General features: G+C 36.6%; 1 protein-coding gene and 1 long non-coding RNA gene across 7 annotated transcripts in view, besides 3 other annotated features; one reads left to right on the forward strand and one right to left on the reverse strand.

Moving 5' to 3' along the window:
- Window positions 1-12832, reverse strand: part of POT1 (protection of telomeres 1) — a 107440-nt gene extending 94608 nt beyond the window's left edge. For all 5 annotated transcript variants that reach the window (NR_003103.2, NR_003104.2, NR_003102.2 and 2 more), the window contains exons 1-2: window positions 12801-12832; window positions 11822-12006 (exon numbers count right to left, since the gene is read on the reverse strand). The gene's annotated coding sequence lies outside the window, so the exon portion shown is untranslated. The remainder of the gene's footprint in view (window positions 1-11821; window positions 12007-12800) is intronic.
- Window positions 12768-13067: an enhancer, noted in NCBI's record as "active region_26573". NCBI's record gives its function as "activates an Ori minimal core promoter by ATAC-STARR-seq in GM12878 lymphoblastoid cells {active_cell/tissue: GM12878}" and the evidence as "EXISTENCE:reporter gene assay evidence [ECO:0000049][PMID:35858748]".
- Window positions 12768-13116: a biological region, named in NCBI's record as "Sharpr-MPRA regulatory region 5954".
- Window positions 12822-13116: an enhancer, noted in NCBI's record as "tiled region #5954; HepG2 Activating DNase unmatched - State 1:Tss, and K562 Activating DNase unmatched - State 1:Tss". NCBI's record gives its function as "activates a minimal TATA promoter and a strong SV40 promoter by Sharpr-MPRA in HepG2 and K562 cells {active_cell/tissue: HepG2 | K562}" and the evidence as "EXISTENCE:reporter gene assay evidence [ECO:0000049][PMID:27701403]".
- The window catches only part of POT1-AS1 (POT1 antisense RNA 1), a 215362-nt gene continuing 209365 nt past the window's right edge, over window positions 12880-18876 (forward strand). For both annotated transcript variants that reach the window (NR_125718.1, NR_125719.1), the window contains exon 1: window positions 12880-13023. This is a non-coding gene — a long non-coding RNA (POT1 antisense RNA 1). The remainder of the gene's footprint in view (window positions 13024-18876) is intronic.

Below are 18876 nucleotides of genomic sequence, written 5' to 3' on the forward strand. Positions count from 1 at the left end.
GACCATTGGTGAAAACCCACTGCAGCTGGAAGGCAAGAACAGAAAAAAACACCTTCTATCCCTGTTAGGGATGGGCAGGAACGGGTACATAGGTGTAAGGCCCAGACCTATACAGCTAGAGGCAAAGCAGGATCATTGAGAAGGCCCCACTCACAAGACCCAGGACCTACTGCTACCAAGACAGGCTTCATCAGAACAGAGAACATCTACCTATTAAAGGCTAACCAGTACCTAGTAAAAAGTAACATGGTCTACTACTGGAAGAGAAGCTCTTGAGCAGGGAGGAGATCTTATTTGAGGCAAAGCACAAAGGAAAGACCTAAAACTAAGGATGGGGAAGACAAGAGAAAAATCCTCTCGTCAACCATCTCCGATCCTACATACAAAGTAACTCTGAGGAATATGAAGCCTCTAGTGCATTGAAGCACCAAAAACAACAACAAATCCCAAACCTAACTCTAAACCCGACTAGATTAATTCAATGCACCAAACTAAAGGCCTAGCACAAAGAAAGACCTACACATGCCCAGAAATAAAAACTACCCCAGTCTCCACTGTCCTCCACAAGACGTACAGCTTTGAACAATAACAACATATGAGGCATACAAAAGAGGCAAGAAAAAACGCAAAGCAATCAAGAGAACCACAATCAATTAGATTAAAAGACATTAATCAAATTAAACTCAAAGCAGGTGCTTTTGCTTCACTTGTATGTGATCCAACTAGAAGAAAAGTCTCAGAGTAGAGGGGATAATCAGAAAAAATATAAAGTTATAGTTATTGGAATGGGCCACACTGGTTTTAGAACAATGAAAAGAGAGCAAAAAGCACCTAAGCATGTAGGAAGACACTCCTAGCACCTGCGAAAGGGCCCTAGCACCTGGAGAAGAAAACTCTAGAACTTGGAAAGGGAATCCCTTAGGTCCCAGGAGGTGTAGGGGAGGGGAGGCATTAATCATCTTTGTCTTTCAGAACTCCAGGAACCTCCTTTCCCAAGGAAAAATATTCTGGTGCTACTCTCAGAAACTACTGGGAAATTTGAAAGTAAATCAACTGCTAAGCCTGCCTACCATGTCTCACCCAACTGCTCTAACCATGAGCCAGCAGGGCATGGCCCAGCTCCTGCAGCTTGGATGCTGATTACTTCCAAATGCCATCCATAACTAGGACAAATGGATTAGTAAATTAAGACAAATTTAACAAACTGCCCTGAGGCAGTCTCTCTGAAAACCAGACCAAACTAAATTACCGGGACTAAACTAGGGGCCTTAGGAGACTACTAGCTAACTAATAACACAAGAGGCACTGTCAACCCATGCTGCCTGCCTATCTATTAATACACACTTCCTAGAGGGGGGACCAACAATTATAAACTGTTTGTTTTCAGGGGTAGCATGTGTGCCACTGGGACTGCGTTTCTTGTGTGAAAGGCAGAAACTAACCAAATAAACAGTGTGACTTGCACCTAGGAGTAGTAATAAGAAACATAAGAAACATTCAAGTCTTCAGTAAACGACCTTTTTGGGTGATCATGCTATACATTATGTCAACAGTTTTACCTACAATGGAAGTTATTCCATTAGAAAGGTGGTAGGAAATTTGTCCCTGCCCTTGTTGAAGTGAGCAAAGAAAACTGGAACCTGAGTTAAAAGACAAGCTTTGAAAATTAAAGGACACTGAGAGACTTCCAGAGAGACTGATGTCCCAGAATTACATGTTTACAATTCAACAGATGAAATCTATAGCTATTCCCTTAAATTCCAAATGACGTATTTACATTAAGGAAATGAGGTTTCTCTCCCTCTCTCGGGAGGGGTAAAGCTGAATAGCTGCCCTATATAAACTCCTAGATGCATCATTTCAGCCTTCCTCTCTGAGAGTACAAGAAATCCCCTTCACACAGCAGGAAGACATCTGGCCCTCACTGCATCACTCTGAATGGGGAGGATGGGCAGGGAGTTATTGCTGAGAATAATATAATTATGTGGTGCTTAACAACAGGGATACATTCTGAAAAATGTGTTGTCAGGCAATTTCGTCTTTGTGTGAACATCAGAGTATGCCTAAACCAACTTAGATTGTACAGCCTACTATACACCGAGGCTATACAATATAGCTTATTGCTTTTAAGCTATAAACCTGTACAACATATACGGTATTGAATACTGTAGGCAATTATAAGACAATGGTAAGTATGTATGTATCTAAACATATAAAAACCTAGAAAAGGTAGAGTAAAAACACAATACTATGATGTTATGGGATGGACCACCATCATATATATGCAGTGCAGTGTTGACTGAGATGTTGTATATGGTGCATAACTGTAATAAGAGTCTGCCTGTATTCTAGAAATCCTGTTTGCTTTTAGGACAAAAATGAATTAGTATAGATATAAAAAATGTAACACATCCTGTTATGGACTTAATTGTGTTCTCCCAAATTACAGGTTGAAGCTCTAACCCTCAACAACTCTGAATTTGACTGTATTTGGAGACAGGGCCATTAAATAGGTAGTTTGGTTAAAAAGAGGCCATTAGAATGTGCCTCTTTTGTGCCACCAGTCTGACTGGTATCCCCAAAAGAAAATGGGACACACAGAAACACAACAGAGTCTCAGGCACGTACAGAGAAAATGCCAGGTGAAGACACAGCGAGAAGGTGAGCATCTGCAAGCCAAGGAGAGAGACCTCAGAAGAAACCAACCCTGCAGCCACTTTGATACTGATCTTCTAGCCTTCAGAACTATGAGAAAATAAATGTTTAAGCCACCCAATCTGTGGTACTTTGTTATGGCTGACCTGACAAACTAATATACCCTCTTTAAAAACTGGGGATTTTCTAAGCTCAGTGCCCCTCAGATGTGCTACAAACTCCGTGTGCACGTTATGTACCTGTCCCTGCCCCCATGGGACTTGGGGAGGAAAGAAGAACCAGTGCAAACATAAAGTTCATGTTCCCTGCTGTGCCAATAAGTAATATACTACCTAAATCTATTTGGGTGCCTTGCCTCCTTAACAGCTGAATCTAGAGAAGTGTAGCATGCCAACCTATGAGCTATATCACATACTGTTGCTTAGGAACTATTTGAACATTTGACCTTTACTCAAATGAAATAAAAACCTATGTTCAGATAAAAATCTGTACATATATATTTACAGTTGCATTATTCACCATCACAAAAACTGGAAAGAATCCAAATATTCCTACACTGGGCAATGGATAAATAGGCTGCAACAAAATTCTAATCACCAAAAGAAAGAAATACTAATGAAAAAAACAACCTGAAAGAATGTTATACGTATCATAGTAAGTGAAAGAAGCCAGATGCAAAAGGCTACATGCTGTATAATGCCATTTATATGACATTCTTGAAAAACAAAAAAACAGTGTCAGGAAATTGGTAAGCAGTCATGAGTGGTTAGAGTTGGCAAAACAGCTAACTATAAAATTTTGGAAGGTGATGAACGAATTGATTGTGATTGTGGTTACATACACATTTGCACGTATTCGTCAAAACTCACAGAAGTGTATGCAAAAAACAGAATGTAGCACTAAAATCCATTTAATAAAATTCAAAAAACATAGATATCTGCAGGTTAGAAAAGGGTAAGTACACAATAGAGAGCTGAAAAATTATTCAGATATGTAAAAGAACACAAATACTTCAATCTTTTTTTTTAAAAAAGTGAGCATTCTACATAACAATCTGTTAACCATGAAAAATACATAAAAGCTATTTCCTAGTTTTAACCCTAGTAGATACTAATGTGTTCACTTATAGCTAAAAGAATTCATTAATAAAAATGTTAAAATTGGACAGGGGCAATGCTCATGCCTGTAATCCCAGCACTTTGAGAGGTCAAGGTGGGAGGATTGCTTGAGGCTGGGAGTTTGAGACCAGCCTGGGCAACACAGAAAGATCCTGCCACTATAAAAAAAAAATTTTTTTAATTAGCTGGGCGTGGTGGCATGTGCCTATAATCCCAGCTACTTGGGAGGCTGAGGCAGAAGGATTCCTTGAGCCCAGGAGTTTGAGGTTACAATGAGCTACAATCATACCCCAGCACTCTAGCCTGGGTGACAGAGCAAGATCCATCTCTTAAGCAAACAAATAAGAAAATGTTGAAACTTAAAAAAATATTTCACTAATATAAGTAAGAACAAAAATAAAATAAGAACTTAGCAAACTGTCATAGTATTTAACATTTCTATATCAAGCACACAAAACAATAAAAGTATGTCAAAACTAGATGCAGCTTGGAAATAATCAGTATTAATGATATGTCAAAAAGAAATCAAATCATAGCACTTTATTAATAAATACAAGTATACAAGAAATATCACACTAACTGACCAAATGTAAAATAAGTTGAGAATGCTAACAAGCATCTGATAATCATTTAAATGCAATTAAGTAGAAAAGACCAGCTGTAATTCATAAAACCTTATTTAATAAGAAAGAAAATTCCAGGAAAATAAATAGAAATAAAACTTAAAAAGAAATAAATAGGTGAGTAAAATGTGTAACAAACGTCTATACGAAGAATATAGACAAGCAAAACTGAAATGTAGATTTCTCTCTATTATCAGATGCATTTTGTCCCTCACCCCCTCAACTAAAATTTAAAAACTCACTAAAAATGCATCCAGAATATTGGATATGGCAGACAAAAGGTTCAGTGAACTCAAAGAGAGAGCAACAGAAATTACTCAACTGAAAATCCTCTCTGCCACACAAATAAAACACAATAAAATAAAGGAGAAAGGAACAGAATCTCAGAGATCCGTGTTACAGTATCAAATAGCCTAATACATGAACATACACACGTAATTGGCATCCCAAAAAAGAGAAAAGGGTAATAATGTGGCAGGAAAAAAAAATATTTCAAGAAATATTATACAATAATTTCCCAAATTTGATGAAAAATACTGAATGAATCCAAGAAGCTCAGTTACCCACAGAGGAGAAATTCAAAGAAAAAGCTTACTTAAGCACATGCCAGTCCAACTGCTGAAACTAAAAGATAAAACAGAAAGGTGGCAGGAAAAAAAATGCAAATCACATACGAAACAACAGAATCCAGAAAGCAGTGGACCGGCATCTCTATAGTCCTAAAAGAAAAAAAAAGTCAACACAGAATTCTATATCCAATAAATATATCCTTGAAAACAAACATGAAATAAAGGCATTTTCAAATGAATGAAAGCTAAGAGAAGTTATCCCCAGCTGAAATATATGAAATGGTAGATATTTTTCACAATGAAGGGAAATAATGCCCAGATAAAAATGGATCTACAGGTAAAAATGAAGAACACCAGAAATGGTAAATATGTCAGTAAATATAAAGACTATACTTTTTCCTTCTTTTAATTTCCTTAAAAGATGACTCATTGTTTAAACAAAAGCAGTAATATAACATAGAGTTTATAATACATGTACATGTAAAAGATCATAACAGTTCAATGAACAGGGGAGTGAGTAAATGGAATTTCACTATTATAAGATTCTTATATTTGTCAAGGGGGAAGAAAAAGCAGGACATGAGAAATAACAACTGTAACATGGGGAGTGGTACAATAGTAGCTGTAAGTATACCTTAGTAAGGATGTATATTGTTAGTACTAGCATAACCACTAAAGGAACAAAACGGGTGTTGCTCAAAGCCAATGGTGAAAATAAAATAGAATAAAAAATATTTAACCCAAAAGAACTCAGGAAGGAGAACAAAAAACAGGCAAAACAAAGGGAACTCAAATTGTTTGACAGACAAACAAAACCATATCAATAATTATTTTACATAAATTGACTATGCTGATTAAATAGTGAGACTGTCAGACTGGATCAAAAAAGCATGATCCCGTTATATGCTAACAGATACTTAAAATACCAAACCATAAGTAAGTTGAAAAAGAAAGGAAATGTTCATACACTCAATATAAGGGCCACACTACCACAGGCACCCAAAATCAAAGCCAAAGTATCTTAACCAACAACATACATACATCTTCAGAAAACATTTCTTTGCTACAAATGCAATTTCAAAAAAAATAGAACAAGCAATTGCTACACTAGATGCACAGATATCAAAGGAAGGGCACAGGAAACATGAAAAAGCAGGGAAATATGATATCACCAAAAGACCACAACAATTATCTAGCAATATATATCAATTAAAAAAAATTCCTCGAAATGCCAGATAAAGAATTCAAAATAGTGATTTTAAAGAAGTTTAATGAGATTCAAGAGAAATCTGAAAACCAATACAAAGAAATCAGAAAATGAATTCTGTTTATGAATGAGAGATTTACCAATGAGACAGACATCTTTAAAAAAAGAAAAGAAAACGGAAACCATGAATTAAAAAATTGAAGAAAATACAAAATATATTCAAAAGATTCAATAACAGATTAGATCAAGCAAAAGAAAGAATCTCAGAACCTGAAGACAGAACGAAATTTTGAAATAATGCGGTCAGGCAAAAATAGGAAAAAGCATAAAAAGGAATGAGCAAAGCCATTTGAGATGTCCAGGACTACATAAAGCAAACAAACATATGAATTATCAGTATTCCTAAGGGGGAAGAGAGATTAGAAAGTTAAAAAAACCTATTTAAGGAAATAATCAATGAAAACTTCCTAAGTCTAGCAAGAGCATCAGACATCCAGATACAGGAGGCCCAGCTATCCCCAGGAAAATACACTGCAAAAAGGACTTCATCATACACATTATATTCAGAATGTGTAAAGTCAAAGTTAAAAAAAAAAAAATCTTAAAATTACCAAGAGAAAAGCATCTATCTAGTCACCTATAAAGAAAACATTATAAAACTAACTGGACTTTTCAGCAGAAATCTTACAGGCCAGAAGAGAAAGAATAACATTTTCCAAGTGCTCAAACAAACAAACAAACAAACAAAAAAACTGTAAGCCAAAATTTTATATCCTGCCAGAATAAGCTTAATAAATAAAAGAGATATAAAAAATTTCCCAGATAAGCAAACAACGCGGGACTCAGTAGTGAAAAAAAGTAGAAAGATCACAAATTAACACACTAGCATCACACCTCAATGAAACCAGAAAAACAAGAACAAACGAAAGTCAGAGTTAGCAGAAGCAAAGAAATAACAAAGATCAGAGCAGAACTAAATGAACAAAAATCCAAAAAAAAAAAAACCCAAAGGATCAATGAAAAAAAAGTTGGTTATTTAAAGAGAGAAACAAAATTGATGAACTACCAGCTAGACTAACCAAGAAAAGGAGAGAAAAGATCCAAATAAAATCAGAGAGGAAAAAAGAGACATTACAACTGATACCACAGAAATTCTAAAGGTAATTAGAGACTACTATGTATAACTATATGCCCATAAACTAGAAAACCAAGAGAAAATGGATAAATTGCTGGAAACATACAGCCTCCCAAGACTGACCCAGGAAGAAAGAGAATTCCTGAACAGATCAATGATGACAGCAAGACTGTATCAGTAATAAAAAAATCCCAATAAAAGAAAGTCCAGGACCAGATGGATTCACAGCCTAGATGTACAAAACACAAAAAGAACTAACACCAATCCACCTGAAACTATTCCAAAACTACTGAGGAGGGAATTCTCCCTAACTCATTCTACAAGGTATCACCCTGATATCAAAACCAGACAAAGAACACAAAAACAAAAACTACAGACTAGTATCTCTGATGACATCGATGCAAAATTATTAACAAAATACTAGCAAATTGAATCCAACAGCATGTCAAAAAGATCATACACCATGATCAAGTGAGATTTATCTCAGGGACGCAAGAATAGTTCAACATACGCAAATCAGTAAGTGTTATACATCACATAAACAGAATTAAGGACAAAAACCAGATGATCATCCCAACAGATGAAGAAAAAGCATTTGATAAAATTCATCTTCCATTCATGACAAAAATCCTCAACAAACTAGATAGAGAAGGAACATCCCTCAACATAATAAAGGTCATGTATGACAAATCCACAGCCAACATAATACTGAATTGGGGAAAAGTTGAAAAGATTCCCTCTAAGAATTGGAACAAGATAAGGATACCCACTTTCACCACTCTTACTCAATATAGTACTGCAAGTCCTAGCCAGAACAATGAGGCAAGGGAAAAAAACAAAAGGCATCCAAATTGGGAAAGAAGTAGCAAATTATCATAGTTGGCTAATGATATGATCTTGTATACAGAAAGCCCTCAAGACTCCACCAAAAATCTCTTAGGTTGGTAAATTAAGTAAAGCTTCAGGATACAAAATCAATGTACAAAAATCAGTAATGTTTCTATACATCAATAAAAATCTAGCTGAGTACCAAATCAAGAATGCAATCCCATTTACAACAGCTACAAAAATAAAATAAAATGCCTAGGAATATATTTAACTAACAAGGTGAAAGATCTCTGCAAGGAAAACTACAAAGGACGGATGAAATAAATTGTAAACAACATAAAAAAATGGAAAAACATCCCATGCTCGTGGATCAGAAGAATTAATATTATTAAAATGAACATACTTCCCAAAGCTACAGATTCAATGCAATCCTTATCAAATTACTGATGTCATTCTTCACAGAATTAGAAAAAAACAATTCTAAAGTTCATATGGAACCAAAAAAGAACCCAAATTGCCAAAGCAATCCTAATCAAAAAGAACAATGCTGGAGGTACACGTTGCCTCACTTCAAAATGTATTACAAGGCTACAGCAACCAAAATAGCATGGTACTAGTATAAAAATAGACACACAGATAAATGGAACAAAATAGAGAAACCAGAAATAAAGTCAAATACTTACAGCCAACTGATCTATGACAAAGATGGCAAGAACACTACACTGGGGAGAAGACACACTTTTCAATTAATGGTGCTGGGAAAACGGGATTGCCACATGCAGAAGAGTGAAACTGGAACGTATATGTCACCATACACGAAAATAAACTTAAGACGGATTAAAGATTTGAATGTAAGACCCAAAACTATAAAAATATAGAAGAAAACCTAGGAAAAACTCTTCTAGATATTGGTTTAGGCAAACAATTCATGACTAAGACCTCAAAAGCACAGGCAATAAAAACACAAATAGACAAATGAAACTTAATTAAGCTAAAAAGCTTCTGTGCTACAAAAGAAATAACAGAATGAACAATCTCAGGAATGAGAGAAAATATTTGCAAACTATACATTCAACAGAGGACTAATATCCAGAATTTACAAGGGACTCAACCAAAAAACCCCCAAATAAGCCCATTAAAAAGTGGGCTAAGGACATGAACATTTTTCAGAAGAAGATAAACAAATAGCCAACAAGCACATGATAAAATGTTCAATATAACTAATCATCAGTAAAATGCAGATTAAAACCACAATGAAATATCACCTTACACCAATCAGAATGGGTATTAAAAAGACAAAGAAAAAACAGACATTGGGGTGCAAAGAAAAAGGAATTGTTATACACTGTCGGTGAGAATGTACATTAGTACAACCTCTATGGAAAACAGTATAATGAGTTTTCGAATAACTAAAAATAGAACTACCATTTGACCCAGCAATCCCACTACTGGGTATGTACCCAAAGGAAAAGAAATCATTAAATAAAAAAGAGACCTGCACTCATATGTATACCACAGCAGTATTCAAAATCACAAAGATATGCAATCAACCAAAGTGTACATCGATGGAGGACTGGATTTAAAAAGTCACATATGTACACAATACTATTTAGACATTAAAAAGAATGAAATTATGTCTTTTGCAGCAACATGGATAGAAATGGAGACCATTATCTTAAATGAAACAACTGAGACACAGAAAGAGAAATACTGCATGTTCTCACTCAAAAATGTGAACTAAATAATGTGTACACACAGAAGCAGAGTGTACAGAGATGGACAATGGAAACTTGGAGGGGTAGGGGATTAGGAGTGGAGTGGATGATGGGAGGTTGCTTGGTGGGTACAAGCTGCATTGCTCCAGTGACAGATGCACTGAAGGCCCTTACTTTACCACAGTGCTATATATCAACATAGCAAAACTGCACTTGTTTCCCACACCTATTTACAAAATAAATTTTAAAAATTTTGTTTAAATTATCAAAAGTATCACAACTCATTTCTTGAAAGACATTTTCTGCTTTCATTTTTTCACCTGACATTCAATCCTCAAACTACTGAAAAATGAATTTGCTCTTAGTGTTTAAGCAAAACTAATCTTTCCAAGTGATCAATAATTTCTTGGTTATTAGAATGAACAGATACTTTTCAGACCTTTGAGCATCTAATAGCAACATAATGCTCTGTTTAGTAGCAAAGACAATGGGAATGCAAATCACTGCTCAGCCACTTACTGGCTATTAGACCTTGAATAAATCACTTAACCTGTGTTTGTTTTCCAGCTATAAAATGAGAATAATACTTAGAGTTCTTAGGAGAGAACATATACAAAGAGATTACATATACAAAGCATTTAGGAGAGTGCCTACTAGACAACAATCTATACAAGTGTTATTGAAACTTGCATTCTTACGTATCAAAGACTCCTGAGTTTCTTCCTCCTTCTCTAGACCATCTCTGCTACTTATTCATACTACTTTCTTTCACTGACTCCTTCAACATGGTTCTCTTCTCTTCTATGCTTTGGCTCAAACCCATCTAAATGAGAGTCCCTTTGGGCTTCAAACTCCCCAATCCACTTGCCTACTGCACACTACTATTTATATACCTCTAAAGACCTTTCAAATATGACCAAAATTGAACTTATCATGTTTCTCCCTAAGTATGTACCCCCTATTTTCTTCTCCTTGTTGGCTAGGAATTAGAAACAGAAGTTTCCTGAATTTCTCTTTGCCACTCTAGTCTAATTGTTCTCTAAGACCTACTGATTCTGCTTCTTTATCCTGTCAGGTCTAAAGGAAATCATCTATATTCAAATTCCTGCTCTACTTCATATCATCAATATGATCTCAGGCAAATTGCTTAACCTTTCTGAAACACAGTGTCTTTAATAACAGTACCTATGTCATAGGTCTTTGTGATGATTAAATAATATACGTAAAAACTACCTAACGCATGGAAAAAAATGCAATGAATGTTAACTTTAGTTATTATTATTACTATCTTTTTTCAATATCCTTCCCATCATCCCCTCTGCCACTGGCCCAGATCATCATCAACTCTCACCTAAATTACTGTAATTGCCTCTTAACTAAACATCTTTCCTCTAATCTTGCATTCGCCAATATATTCTCTACCTAGGAGCAAAGTTTTTTGAACTCAAAGTAAATCATGTCTTTCTCCTGCTAAAACCTACTAAAGACTTCCCATAGCTTTTAGAGTAATATCCAAATTCCTCAACATGCACATAAGGACTGCTTTTTACCTCAAAGGAAGGTACAGCACAGTCTGTTATCCCGTAAGTTCCAGCTCAACTTTCGTGATCTGTCAGAACCAAAAGCTCTCTCATGTTCACACATCACAATGCTAATATCACACCTATTAATTTTAATTGGAGATCAGGTGATTGATCTGTCAGACCCCACAGAAATGTGATTATCTTTAGTTCCGGGACTATATTTATTCATCTTTGTACCTCAGAAACTTACTCCAATGTTTCACACACGAATTTGATAATTGTTCGCTAAATAAGTACTGAATAAGAATAACTTATTGAAATATTCAATCTCAAATGTTATGACAAAGATAAAAACCATACCTAAACCAGTTCTCATAAATAAACTCAACACTTAAAAACTGCATTCCTTTTAGTAGGAAAAAGCATTCTGAGTTATAGAAATTCTTACCTGAATATATTTCTTGCTATAATTGTAACCTGGCTGTAGGGATCCGAAATCTACTTTATGTAATTTACTCAGCGGCTGAACTTCAGGCACCCCATTGACTTCCTTTATTAATTCAAGTGGCATATCAGTTCTGCTTCACACTGATGTCCAAAGCAAATTCAACTAGGGAATCTGACAACTTGCTGCTGAAAATACAAAACCAGTGTTTTACCCAAAATGAAGTCAATAATTTGCTTTAAGTCTCTTTGACTTAGTTATGCTTTTCCTTATTATAGTTAACACGGTTCGGGGTTGGGGGGTGACAGGAGGATGGATTATTTTACAATTTTATTGCAAAGATCAATACAAAACATTCTTCCAAGGAACTGAAACTTAACCATTTTCTACTTAGCTGCGTAAAGTACCTCCAAAAAGCCAGTTTTAAGATCTGTAACGTCACTAACAAACGCTTTTAACATTGTGCTTTAAAATGTAAAATTTATTGGGGAAGAGGGAGGCTGAAAAATCGTGTTTTTTTTTAACCCCCACGGGAGCTGTAATATTGTATAGACAAACTGTGCACCAAAAGCATCGTACTCCAACATGTTTCTGTGGCCCCCTCCCTTCACCCGCTAAATAAATGAAGAAACAAAAATTACTGAACTGAGATTAACTTCTGCATCGTAGGCTCAACCTTATTTCACAGACCTCTTGACGGGGACACTCACTAGTGTCGATATCTAATTTTAATGTTTGCGCACCAACCTTCCCCCAAGCCACCTGAGCTCTGTGAGGGCGGGGACTTGGACTTAACTCCTGTCTGCTTCTCCCAAAACACCAAGAAAGATGCTGAACACAGCAGGCTCGAGATAAACACTCGTAAGAAAGCGTTTCTCTGCGATAATTACATCAAATTTTGATCTAAACTAATTCAATCCCGGGCCCGTTACGTCTGGCACCCACTCAAATGAACACACCAAACCTTACAAATTTCACTCACCCGTACTCTAGAAAGAACCCTAGGAAGAGTTTAGGCGGGCGCGCAGGTGACGTCACACGCACGCTGACGGTTCAGCTCCACGCATGCGTGCAGGATCCCTGGGCATAGTCGCTTGTTCTCCGCCCGCGGTGGACCAGCTGCGTAACGGTTCACACACTGATGGCGCCTGGAGGTTTGGCGAAATACTGACAGGATGCGACGTCAACGGGAGCGCAGGGCCAAGGTACAGGCCCCGCCCAGTCCGGTCACATCCCCCGGAATTCTCGCAGCTCCCCTTAGCTCCGCCCCCAGTGACTTTCCAGCTTTCGTGGCGGGAGGCAAGCTTAGGGGAAGCGGGCGGGTCCGCTGGGCGGGATTTGAGCTTCCCTTTGGTAGATTCGAAGCTCCTGTAGGCAGAGCCTTTCTTTTAATGTCCAGTTCTCTTCCTCCAAGAAATAGGCACCTACTGCAGTCTTTACAAGGAAGCATTTACAAGGATAACAATGTTATTTGGGAGTTTTTATAGTAATTTCGGGCATTGGCATAATGCCACCATTGAGTCTTGCTATTTACAGACAGATTTGATTAACCTTGTCATTGTTTTATAGGGCCATGATTTTGTGGTATAATTAATATTTATTATAATTTATTTTATAGGTTTATTATAGTTTATTTAATATTTATTATAACTTATAATTGATAAATATTATAATTTATCATTTATAATGATAAATTGTTAAACATGAATTCTCTGCTAATTCCAGATATATGCCTTCAATCATTTAAGTGAAATCATCCTAGTGTGAAACTAAATGTAATAAAGAATTACATGAATATTTCCAAGGCTAATTTGAACTAAAATATCTTCTTTATATACATATTTGCAGGAGGATATAGCTAACTTTTTTTTTTTTTTTGAGACGGAATCTCGCTCTGTCACCAGGCTGGAGTGCAATGGCGCAATCTCGGCTAACTGCAACCCCCACCTCCCGGGTTCAAGCAATTCTTCTGCCTCAGCCTCCCTAGTAGCTGGGATTACAGGCGCAGGCCACCATGCCTGGCTAATTTTTGTATTTGTTTAGTAGAGACGGGGTTTCCCATTTTGGCCAGGCTGGTCTCGAACTCCTGACCTTGTGATCCGCCCACCTTGGCCTCCCAAAGTGCTGGGATTACAGACATGAGCCACTGTGCCCAGCCAGCTATGTTTGAAGTGCCTTTTTAATCAACAGGAAGCATTCAGTATTAGCCCATCTCCTGTTTCCCCTCCCCATCCCTGTAGTTATATCCCACGCAGAAGCCGGGGTGACAAGTGCATGAACTCAGGAGCTGTCCATTTGAGGAAAACTATAGGGAAGGTTTAGATGCTATCCTCCTTCCATCTCTGGCTGCATCCGGCTGAGAAATACTATTCCTCCTTTTTATGTGAAGCCCTCCACATGGGCTTTGGACCCTGACCAATTTCATCTCCCTTCCATCATCATCAATATATTTTCTCTTAATGTATTTTAAGCTTTCCTTCTTTTATTCATTCTTTCCCGTCACCATTTAAACACATTCTCCCAGGCTCTTGCTCTGTCGCCCAGGCTGAAGTGCAGTGGCGAGATCATAGCTCGCTGCAGCCTGGAACTCCTGGGCTCAAGCTATCCTCTGGCCTCAGCCTTCTAAGTAGCTGGGACTACAGGCACAGGCCACCACACCCGGCTAATTTTTTAAAAAAATTTTGTGGAGACGAGTTCTCACTATGTTGCCCAGTCAGTCTCACACTCCTCTGTGGGTACTAAATATTTGTTGAATGAACAAATGCTGAGGAAAACTGTTTATCTTACTTCTGACTTCCACCCCTCCATCCCACCCCTGCCCCCCACCACCCCATTACACTTAAACTGCCCTTAGAAAAACCACTGAAGAACTCTTTATTGCTAACCCAAAAGGACATTTTTAGTCTCATATTTTTGAAAACATTCTTTGTGCTACAACATGGTCCTAGTTTTCCTCTTACCTTCTACCAACTGAATCTTTTAAAATTTCTCATAATCTGTTTAGCCTGTAAGTATCCATGTTCTGTAGAATGTGATGAAGATGTCTAATAGAGGTATACGTAAGTCCTTTTATTTTGTTAAAGTGGTTGTTCTCAGTTCCTGTGGGACACAACACTTCCTACACGTTCAAGTAACTTCCAATCTTATTTCTTCTGCATAATCTCCCAATTAGTGGCAGAGGCTCCAGAGCCTGTAATGCTTTCCCTCACATTAGCAATTAATTTCCACAAATGAAGAAAATTGCTCATGAATATACAGTACAATTTAAGATAATAAGAGAGGAAAAAAAGAGATTGAATCAACTGAATAAGGCAATGAAGACATATTAATGCCAAAACAATCCATTACTATTGTTCTATGCCTGTTGAAGCAGCATAAAAAAGCTACTCTAAGGCTAACAATTAATGTAATTGTTATTAGAAGTTATGACTTTTAAAGGTTCAATGAAAAAAGTTTTTATATAAAATCTGCAATGTAAAAATGTTCATTTTAAGAAAAGTTAAAATTAAATTTTCATTAATAAATAATGAAGACTAAAAGCAAAATGGGTAATTTTTAAGTGATGTATAAATATAAGGATTCAGTATAGTTATCATAAATAAATCAAACGTGAAAGAAATTAGTCTGCAAATTTCTGACACATCTTCCCTCTCATAGCATTTTCATATTATCCTTTACTATTTACTTGTTAATGTCTACATGTAAAATTGAATTGCCTAACATGTCCAGCACTTCAAATTCATTTCCTTTGCATTAATTGTGGGGTGATTAACCCATTCCTGTTTGCAGTCCATCTGTCCTGCAAGCTGTTATCATCAGGTTGCATCTCTAGAGCCTGACAATATCATCTTCTTACTCCTGAGATTTTCTAGGAATAATAGCTAGGCTACATTAGTTGGAGTTCATTTCCTTGTGTCTAATATTCTTTCTGCCCAATCCTAATGAACATCTAAATGGATTTGTAAAATCCTATTTCAATAAAGCATCAAATTTTTATATTGTTATGTAGCTGAGCCAGGAGATAAATCAAACATAATTTTTTCTCAAATGTATGTTTAAGTTACAAATTTAAATGGTAAAGCATGTAATCACTCAGTGCATACTAGGAAGCAAAATAAAGATATTTTTAAAACATAATATTAGGTACCACAAATTGAGAAAACATTATTATCCATTGAAGAGGTCTCTCAAAAGCTTTTGTACTTTAATAATAAATCTTTTTAATTTATTATTTAAAATATCCTAGGCCAGGCACAGTGGCTCACACCTGTAATCCCAGCACTTTGGGACGCCGAACCAGGCAGATCACAAGATCAGGAGTTCGAGACCAACCTGGCCAACATAGTGAAAACCTGTCTCTACAGAAAATACAAAAAATTAGCCAGGTGTGGTGGCGGGCACCTGTAATCCCAGCTACTCGGGAGGCTGAGACAGGACAATCACTTGAACCCAGGAGGTGGAGGTTGCAGTGAGCTGAGATCACACCATTGCACTCCAGCCCGGGAAACAGTGCGAGACTCCGTCTCAAAAAAAAAAAAAAAAAATCCTCATCAGTTAAAAAATTGTCTTTCCTTCAGTTGCTACTCATTTTAAGAATTGTTGGGCCAGGTATGGTGGCTCTCGCCTATAATCCCAGCACTTTGGGAGACCGAGGCGGGTGGATTACCTGAGGTCAGGAGTTCAAGACCAGCCTGGCCAACATGGTGAATCCCCATCTCTACTAAAAATACGAAAAAAATTAGCTGGGCCTGGTGGCACACCCCTGTAATCCCAGCTACTCTGGAGGCTGAGGCAGGAAAATTGGTTGAGCCCAGGAGGCAGAGGTTACTGTGAGTCGAGATCGTGCCACTGCACTCCAGCCTGGCCGACAGAGCAAGATTCTGTCTCAAAAAAAAAAAAAAAAAGAATTGTCCAAGGAAAAAAATAACCTATATTCAAATTTTAATTATAAACTATAAGTAGGTCAATATATTATACTGTATTGATCCATATGAATGAATTACAAATACGAACTTTCTCTTGTTGAAAGACTATAAGAAATGTATGACTTCCCAAAAAATATAAATAAATGTTTCCTCATATAACTCATGTATAACATTTTCTCTTTCTTTCTTTCTTTCTTTCTTTTTTTTTTTTTTTGAGACAGGGTCTTACTCTGTTGCCCTGGCTGGCATACAGTAGGAAGATCCTAGCTCTCACTGTATCCTCGGTCTCCCAGACTCAAGCGATCCTCCCACTTCAGCCTCTTGAGTAGCTGGGACTATAGGCAGGCAACACTGTGCTCCGCTAATTATTTTTAGCAGACGTGAAGTCTCACTGTGCTTCCCAGGCTGGTCACAAACTTCGGGTTCAAGTGACCCTCCCACCTTGGCCTCCCAAAATGCTGGGATTACAGACGTGAGCCACCATTTCTGATAACATGTTTTTAATATGTTTAAAAAAAGGCAATATGTAAACTTAATGAATATTCAGGGAACATTTACCAAGTATCTGAAATTGAGCAGGGCCATCTAACAATAAGTTAAACACAACCAGGCATGGCCCTGGCTGATTTGGATCTTGCAGTGGAGACAGAATATCTTTTTAAAATTCAGATAAACCAATGCAAAATTTCGATTATGATGTGAGATACAGAGAATAGTCATGGTGCTAGGAAAGTATATAATGGAAGAAGCTGACCTAGATAGAAAGGTCACATTAGGTCTTCCTGAGAAGTAAGAATTAAGCAGAGATGAAAATACAGCAATATAATCAAGGCAAATTTTAGTTACCTGTAGTACATTTCAGTCCTATAAAAATATATGGCTTCAAGCTTAAAAAACTATGGGCTAATCAAAACATATATTTTTTTCTTAAATACTCTCTAAACCCTGTATTCAGCCTTAATTTTGCTCTTCAGGTGAAACTCATCACTTCTTTTGCTATCCCTAGACTGCCACAGATATAACCCTCATACAGGCAATGATTTTATGTGATCATGCTCAGATATTAGACACAAAAAAATAGAGTGTGACTGGTGAAACTGGCTCACATTAAACAAACTCACATTGATATTTTTAAAAAAACCTGGTAATACAAATGTATTAAATTCCAACCAAATGTTTTAAATTATTAGCTATATATCTGGAATATGGCATTATGTTAATATCAGTACTTATGAGGAACCAAATTATAAACACTTGGTTGTTGGGAAAGCATGGAATTTCAACATAGAAAATTTTTTGGATGATCCTACAACCTAACATAATCAAGTCATGTGAGTTTCATGTCAAGTCTACTGGAGAAATATATGTGGATGTTCACATTTGTGGTCAGGGCACCATCTCCCCTGAATGTTTGCCTCTCAGATGATCTCTTTTCTAGGCATGTAATTAACCTTCTTCAGATGTGTCCTGTTTTCTTTTTTATTTTCTTTCTGTGCCTTGATTTGGATTAGAAATAAATTACAGCTATGGCTCCGGTAATATTTACAAGTGTTTGGCTATGCCATGTTCTTTCCCTTAGTTGTCTAACAATTTGTAAAATTCAAGACTCTGTATAATCACTGTAATCTCTCTAGTGATTCTGAAAAGACAGGGATCTTTTTCTTTAAATTTTCTAATCTATGGCATATAATTTTATTTTTATAGATATATATTCACCTCTTTCTAAGCACAGAGTAAGCCTTCAAGGCTTGTCAGTGAATTAGATGTTCTGCTGCTAAAAGTCAGCCTGAGCACCCTCAAGACTCAGAGTTGGCTGTTTCCTGAGAATAAATAAAAGGCCATGGCTCATCTCAGTGCCATAACACGAATGGGCACTTTCTTCTTCCAGCTCGCTTTCTTCCAGATCAGAGGATTCTTATAAGAATTTATGTGTTTTGTTGGGGAAAAAAATCATTTATCTAAAGTTTAATCATCCCTTCAGTTTTACTTAAACTGTTTTCTCTTTTGATTAATTCAAATAAAATTTAAATTAATACTTTTAATTTAAAATATCATCTATGATTCTTTTATTTTAAATTAATTCTGTCTTTCTGGCCAGTAGCTTAATTCTGATTCTATGTATTATACAGAGAT

This window comes from Homo sapiens, chromosome 7 (genome assembly GCF_000001405.40).
Source record: "Homo sapiens chromosome 7, GRCh38.p14 Primary Assembly".
In the NCBI taxonomy this organism is placed as follows: Eukaryota; Metazoa; Chordata; class Mammalia; order Primates; family Hominidae; genus Homo; species Homo sapiens.